This window comes from Homo sapiens, chromosome 1 (genome assembly GCF_000001405.40).
Source record: "Homo sapiens chromosome 1, GRCh38.p14 Primary Assembly".
Taxonomy (NCBI): domain Eukaryota; kingdom Metazoa; phylum Chordata; class Mammalia; order Primates; family Hominidae; genus Homo; species Homo sapiens.
Window position 1 is genome coordinate 102823658 of NC_000001.11, and position 8755 is coordinate 102832412.

The window sequence follows — 8755 nt, forward strand, 5'->3', positions numbered from 1 at the left end:
CTTTAAACAAGAACTTACGGAAAGACTCTGCTCTCCTAGTATCCCAACTTGTGAGCTGTTTTCTCTTTTCCACAGATAAATATTTTCTGCACTTCTAATTAAAATGCTTGTGTTAAAATTCCTTCAAGAAAAAGTGAAATCTTTTCCTCCAATGTCAGGAAGCTTTTCAGGAAGTCACAAGTACACAGCCATATTGAAAAAGTGAGAAAGAGAGATTGAGCGACATCAGACACGAAGAGAAAAGTGGTAGTTCTGGTGTTAGCTGAGTTTCAAAAATATATTGTATGGTAAGTTTATGTAAATATTTATGATACTCAAAATTACACAGGATTTGTGGAGCCAGAGTTAAAGAACATGGATTGCAAAGGGGCAAAAAAAAAATTGAGATCATAGATATGTTCTATATCTTGATTGGGGTGGAAATTACATAGGTTTATTTATCTCAAGCTCATGAAGCTTTACATTTAAATTGAATAATTTTATTGTTTGCATATTGCACCTAATCAAAATTGATTAAGCAATGTTATTTATAGTTTGTAGTTATTATCTATGCTTGTAAACAAATGTACACCCATATGTACAAGGAACTTAGGAAGAGACATAGGAAGATGGGATATGAATATTTCTGTATAGCTTATCATTTCTCTGTTGTATGAAGTGATAGCAATATGTGTTAAATTTGGAGTACATAAGTATCTTATTTTCAGTATTATGCTTCTTATCGAAAATTTGAAATTTTAATTTTAAAATTTTTTATTGTGCTAAAAATGTAGATACATATACAGCTTAGGAAAAAATAAAGTGAAAGCCTGCATACCCTTTAACTAGTTTTCCCAAATAGTATCAGTTTGGAAAATCATAGCTCAACATTACAAGCAGGATATTAACATTAAAGCAGTCTAGATACATAACATTGCCATCACCAGGGTCGGTCATGTTTCTCTTTCATAGGCACATACAATTTCTTCCCACTCTGATTCCTTACTTAATTCCCGGCAATCACTGACCTATATTATGTCATTACAAGTCTGATATATAAATGGAGACATATAGTGTATAAACTCTGAAACTGATTTTTTTCACTCAGCATAATTATCTGAATATTTATCCAGGTTGTTTTGTTTATCATAATAGTATTCCAGGGTGTGGAAGTATTACAGTTTGTTTAAACATTTACCCATTGAAGGACATCTGAGTTGTTTGCAGTGTTTGCCTATCATGAAAACATCTTCTATAAACATTAGTCTTCAGGTTTTTGTGTGAAAACAAGTCTTAAGTATTCTGGAATAAACACCTAGGTATGCAGTTTCTGGGTTTTATGGTAGTTGCATGTTTAATTTTTGTTTGAGAAACTGACAAACTGTTTTCCAGAGTGACTGTGAAATTTTACCTTCACACCAATAATGTATGAGTCATTCAGTTACTGTGATTTCTTACCAGTATTTGGTGACGTTATTTTATTTTATTTTTCATTTTGATGAGTATGTAGTAATAGCTCATTATGGTGTGTATTTGCATTTCACCAATGGCTAACAGTGTTGAACACAGTATAAGTGCTCATTTTCACATGCGTAACATCTGCAGTGAAATATCTCTTCATGTATTTTGCCATTTTTGAATTGGATTGTTCATTTTATCACTATTGAGTTTTGAGAGTGCTTTACATATCCTAGATACTAGTCTTTGTTGAACATATGACTTGTCTCTTTATTCTCCCACTTTGTGACTTGTCTTTTCATTCTCTTTATGAGATTTTTCACAGATCAAAGGTTTTTAACTTTTATAAAATATACTTGTTCTTTTTTTATTTTTAAAAATTGTTTAATTATGGCTACATAATAGTTGTATATATTTATGGGACACATGTACAATTTTGATAGGATATGTAAAGATCAATTCAGAGTAATTGGGGCCAGGTGTGGTGCTCATGCCTATAATCTTAGCACTTTGGGAGACTGAAGCATGCAGATCACTTGAGCCCAAGGAATTTGAGACCAGCCTGGGCAATATGGCGAGAGCCCATCTCTACAAAAAATGTAAAAATTAACCAGGTGTCACAGTGTTCATCTATAGTCCCAGCTACTTGGGAGGCTGAGAGATGGGAGGATCACTTAAAACCTGAAGGTCAAGGCTGTAGTGAGCCAAGTCTCACCACTGTACTCCAGCCCGGGCAACAGAGTGAGACTCTGTCTCAAAAAACAAACAAAAAAATCAGAGCAATGGGGATATACACATTTCAAACATTTATCTTTTTTGTATTAGAATATTCCAATTTCACCATTTTAGTTATTTTGAAATATACAAAATTATTTTTAATGATAGTCACCTTATTGTGCTACCAATATTGTTAGCTAGTAAATTATTGTTACTGTTGGATACAATGAGTTCTAGATTTGTCTTCAAAGAATCAGTATGTCAGTATGTTCAGTTCTTTGTCCTCTATTTTAAAGTTTAACTTCCTCGAAGTTTCAGTAAACAGCCAGTTTTAATCAGTAGTTCACATCTGTTCCCCTGGGCATCTCCTCCGTCCTGACTCATCCCGGTCATCTGTTTTGAACTGAGCCACCCCTGGTCACCTGCTCTGACCTAAGTCACCTTTAGTTACCTGTTCCTAACCGTCTTTCCCGCCAAACTATTCACCCCACCACTCTGGCTCATACCCCTGTCCTCTTTAAAATATCCAATTGGAATTAGCTTAGACTGTGTGGTCCAACCCTAGCCAATAAGGAAATGACCCTATGATGCAGGAATATGAACCCCTTCCCCTCCTTTGTTCAGGTGTGCTCTCACCATTACTCCATTCGTGAGTCACACCCTTCTATAGAAGTAAAAATTGATGGGAGGGGGTTCCAAGATGGCTGAATAGGAACAGCTCCAGTCTAAAGTTCCCAGCGTGAGCGATGAAGAAGACGGGTGATTTCTGCATTTCCAACTGAGGTACCAGGTTCATTTCACTGGGTCTTGTCGGACAGTGGGTGCAGGATGGTGGGTGCAGTGCACCGAGCGTGAGCCAAAGCAGGGCGAGGCATTGCCTCACCTGGGAAGTGCAAGGGGTCAGGGAATTCCCTTTCATAGCCAAGCAAATCTGTGACAGACAGCACCTGGAAAATCAAGTCACTCACACCCTAATATTGTGCTTTTCCAGTGGTCTTAGCAAATGGCACACCAGATTATATCCTGCACCTGGCTTGGATGGTCCCACGCCCATGAAGCCTCGCTCATTGCTAGAACTGCAGTCTGAGATCGAACTGCAAGGCTGCAGGGAGGCTGGGGGAGGGTCGCCCGCCATTGCTGAGGCTTGAGTAGGTAAACAAAGTGGCCAGGAAGCTCGAACTCGGTGGAGCCCAACGCAGCTCAAGGAGGCCTGCCTGCCTCTGTAGACTCCACCTCTGGAGGCAGGGCATAGCCAAACAAAAGGCAGCAGAAACCTCTGCAGACGTAAATGTCACTGTCTGACAGCTTTGAAGAGACTAGTGGTTCTCCCAGCATGGAGTTTGAGATCTGAGAACGGAAAGACTGCCTCTTCAAGTGGGTCCCTGACCCCTGAGTAGCCTAACTGGGAGGCACCCCCAGTAGGTGCAGACCGACACCTCACATGGCCAGGTACCCCTCTGACATGAAACCTCCAGAGGAATGATCAGACAGCAACATTTGCTGTTCAGCAATATTCACTGTTCTGCAGCCTCCGCTGCTGATACCCAGGCAAACAGGGTCTGGAGTGCACCTCCAGCAAACTCCAACAGACCTGCAGCTGAGGGTCCTGATTGTTAGAAGGAAAACTAACATACAGAAAGGACATCCACACCAAAAACGCATCTGTACGTCACCATCATCAAAGACCAAAGGTAGATAAAACCACAAAGATGGGGGAAAAACAGAACAGAAAAACTTAAAATTCTAAAAATCAGAGCATCTCTCCTCCTCCAAAGGAATGAAACTCCTCACCAGCAATGGAAGAAAGCTGGATGGAGAATGACTTTGACAAGTTGAGAGAAGAAGGCTTCAGATGACCAAACTTCTCCGAGCTAAAGGAGGAAGTTCGAACCCATGGCAAAGAAGTTAAAAACCTTGAAAAAAGAATAGACAAATGGCTAACTAGAATAACCAATGCAGAGAAGTCCTTAAAGGACCTGATGGAGCTGAAAAACATGGAACAAGAACTATGTGATGAATGCACAAGCTTCAGTAGCCTATTCGATCAACTGGAAGAAAGGGTTTCAGTGATTGAAGAGCAAATGAATGAAATGAAGTGAGAAGAGAAGTTTAGAGAAAAAAGAATGAAAAGAAACAAACGAAGCCTCCAAGAAATATGGGACTAAGTGAAAAGACCAAATCTATGTCTGATTGGTGTACCTGAAAGTGACGGGGAGAATGGAACCAAGTAGGAAAACACTCTGCAGGATATTATCCAGGAGAACTTCCCCAACCTAGCAAGGGAGGCAAACATTCAAATTCAGGAAACACAGAGAACACCACAAAAATACTCCTTGAGAAGAGCAACTCCAAGACACACAATTGTCAGATTCACCAAAGTTGAAATGAAGGAAAAAATGTTAAGGGCAGCCAGAGAGAAAGGTCAGGTTACCCCCAAAGGGAAGCCCATCAGACTAACAGCTGATCTCTCAGCAGAAGCTCCAAAAACCGGGAGAGAAAGGGGGCCAATATTCAACATTCTTAAAGAAAAGAATTTTCTACCCAGAATTTCATATCCAGCCAAAATAAGCGTCATAAGTGAAGGAGAAATAAAATACTTTACAGACAGGCAAATGCTGAGACATTTTTGACACCCCCACGCCTGCCCTACAAGAGCTCCTGAAGGAAGCACTAAACATGGAAAGGAACAACTGGTATAAGCCACTGCAAAAACATGCCAAATTGTAAAGACCATCAATGCTAGGAAGAAACTGCATCAACTAATGAGCAAAATAACCAGTTAATATCATAATGACAGGATCAAATTCACCCATAACAATATTAACCTTAAATGTAAATGGGCTAAATGCTCCAATTAAAAGACACACAGTGGCAAACTGCATAAAGAGTCAAGACCCATCAGTGTGCTGTATTGAGGAAACCCATCTCACGTGCAGACACACACGTAGGCTCAAAATAAAGGGATGGAGGAAGATCTACCAAGAAAATGGAAATCAAAAAAAGGCAGGGGTTGCAATCCTAGTCTCTGATAAAACAGACTTTAAACCAACAAAGATCAAAAGAGACAAAGAAGGCCATTCCATAATGGTAAAGGGATCAATTCAACAAGAAGAGCTAACTATCCTAAATATATATATGCACCGAATACAGGAGCACCCACATTCATAAAGCAAGTCCTTAGTGACCTACAAAGAGACTTAGACTCCCACACAATAATAATGGGAGACTTTAACACCCCACTGTCAACATTAGACAGATCAACGAGACAGAAAGTTAACAAGGATATCCAGGAATTGAATTCAGCTCTGCATCAAGCACACCTAATAGACATTTATAGAACTCTCCACCCCAAATCAACAGAATATACATTCTTCTCAGCACCACACTGCACTTATTCCAAAACTGACCACATAGTTGGAAGTAAAGCACTCCTCAGCAAATGTAAAAGAACAGGAATGATAACAAACTGTCCTTCAGACCACAGTGCAATCGTGCAATCAAACTACAACTCAGGATTAAGAAACTCACTCAAAACCACTCAACAACATGGAAGCTGAACAACCTGCTCCTGAGTGAATATTGGGTAAATAACAAAATGAAGGCAGAAATAAAGATGTTCTTTGAAACCAATGAGAACAAAGACACAACATACCAGAATCTCTGGGACACATTTAAAGCAGTGTGTAGACGGAAATTTATAGCACTAAATGCCCACAAGAGAAAGCAGGAAATATCTAAAATTGACACCCTAACATCACAATTAAAAGAACTAGAGAAGCAAGAGCAAACACATTCAAAAGCTAGCAGAAGGCAAGAAATAACTAAGATCAGAGCTGAACTGAAGGAGATAGAGACACAAAAAAAAACCCTTCAAAAACATCAATGAATCCAGGAGCTGGTTTTTTGAAAAGATCAACAAAATTCATAGACTGCTAGCAAGAGTAATAAAAAAGAAAAGAGAGAAGAATCAAAAAGATGCAATAAAACATGATAAAGGGCATACCACCACCAATCCCACAGAAATACAAACTACCATCAGAAAATACTATAAACACCTCTATGCAAATAAACTAGAAAATCTAGAAGAAATGGATAAATTCCTCGACACATACACCCTCCCAAGACTAAACCAGGAAGAAGTTGAATCTCTGAATACACCAATAAAAGGCTCTGAAATTGAGGCAATAATTAATAGCTTACCAACCAAAAAAAGTCCAGGACCAGATGGATTCACAGCCGAATTCTACAAGAGGTAAAAGGAGAAGCTGGTACCATTCCTTCTGAAACTATTCCAATCAATAGAAAAAGAGGGAATCCTCCTTAACTCATTTTTTGAGGCCAGCATCATCCTGATACCAAAGCCTGGCAGAGACACAACAAAAAAAGAGAATTTCAGACCAATATCCCTGATGAACATCAATGCGAAAATTCTCAATAAAATGCTGGCAAACTGAATCCAGCAGCACATCAAAAAGCTTATCCACCATGATCAAGTGGGCTTCATCCCTGGGATGCAAGGCTGGTTCAACATATGCAAATAAATAAACATAATCCAGCATATAAACAGAACCAAAGACAAAAACCATATGATTATCTCAATAGATGCAGAAAAGGCCTTTGATAGAATGCAACAGCCCTTCATGCTAGAAACTCTCAATAAATTAGGTATTGATGGGACATATCTCAAAATAATAAGAGCAATCTATGACAAACCCACAGCCAATATCATACTGAATGGGCGAAAACTGGAAGCATTCCCTTTAAAAACTGGCACAAGACAGGGATGCCCTCTCTCACCACTCCTATTCAACATAGTGTTGGAAGTTCTGGCGAGGGCAATCACGCAGGAGAAGGAAATAAAGGGTATTCAATTAGGAAAAGAGGAAGTCAAATTGTCCCTGTTTGCAGATGACATGATTGTATTCTAGAAAACCCCATCGTTTCAGCCCAAAATCTCCTTAAGCTGATAGGCAACTTCGGCAAAGTCTCAGGATACAAAATCAATGTACAAAAATCACAAGCATTCTTATACACCAATAACAGACATACAGAGAGCCAAATCATGAGTGAACTCCCATTCACAATTGCTTCAAAGAGAATAAAATACCTAGGAATCCAACTTACAAAGGATGTGAAGGACCTCTTCAAGGAGAACTACAAAGCACTGCTCAACGAAATAAAAGAGGATACAAACAAATGGAGGAACATTCCATACTCATGAATACGAAGAATCAATATCATGAAAATGGTCATACTGCCCAAGGTAATTTATAGATTCAATGCCATCCCCAACAAGTTACCAAGGGCTTTCTTCACAGAATTGGAAAAAACTACTTTAAAGTTCATATGGAACCAAAAAAGAGCCCGCATTGCCAAGTCAATCTTAAGACAAAAGAACAAAGCTGGAGGCATCACGCTACCTGACATCAAACTACACTACAAGGCTACAGTAACCAAAACAGCATGGTACTGATACTAAAACACAGATATAGACCAATGGCACAGAACAGAGCCCTCAGAATTAATACCACACATCTACAACTATCTGATCTTTGAGAAACCTGACAAAAACAAGAAATGGGGAAAGGATTCCCTATTCAACAAATGTTGCTGGGAAAACAGACTAGCCATATGTGAAAAGCTGAAACTGGATGCCTTCCTTACACCTTATACAAAAATTAACTCAAGATGGATTAAAGAGTTAAATATTAGACCTAAAACCATAAAAACCCTAGAAGAAAACCTAGGCAATACCATTCAGGACATAGGCATGGGCAAGGATTTCATATCTAAAACACCAAAAGCAATGACAACAAAAGCCAAAATTGACAAATGGGATCTAATTAAACTCAAGAGATTCTGCACAGCAAAACAAACTACTATCAGAGTGAACAGGCAACCTACAGAATGGGAGAAAATTTTTGCAACCTACTCATCTGACAAAGGGCTAATATTTAGAATCTACAAAGAACTCAAACAAATTTACAAAGAAAAAAACAAACATCCCCATCAAAAAGTGAGTGAAGGATATGAACAGACAGTTCTCAAAAGAAGACATTTATGCAGCCAAAAGACACATGAAAAAATGCTCACCATCACTGGCCATCAGAGAAATGCAAATCAAAACCACAATGAGATATCATCTCACACCAGTTAGAATGGCAATCATTAAAAAGTCAGGAAACAACAGGTGCTGGAGAGGATGTGGAGAAATAGGAACACTTTTACATGGTTGGTGGGACTGTGAACTATTTCAACCATTGTGGAAGACAGTGTGGAAATTCGTCAGGGATCTAGAACTAGAAATACCATTTGACCCAGCAATCCCATTACTGGGTATATACCCAAAGGATTATAAATCCTGCTGCTATAAAGACACATGCACACGTATATTTATTGCAGCACTGCTCACAATAGCAAAGACTTGCAATCAACCCAAATGTCCAACAATGATAGACTGGATTAAGAAAATGTGGCACATATACACCATGGAATACTATGCGCCATAAAAAATGATGAGTTCATGTCCTTTGTAGGGACATGGATGAAACTGGAAGCCATCATTCTCAGCAAACTATCGCAAGGACAAAAAACCAAACAC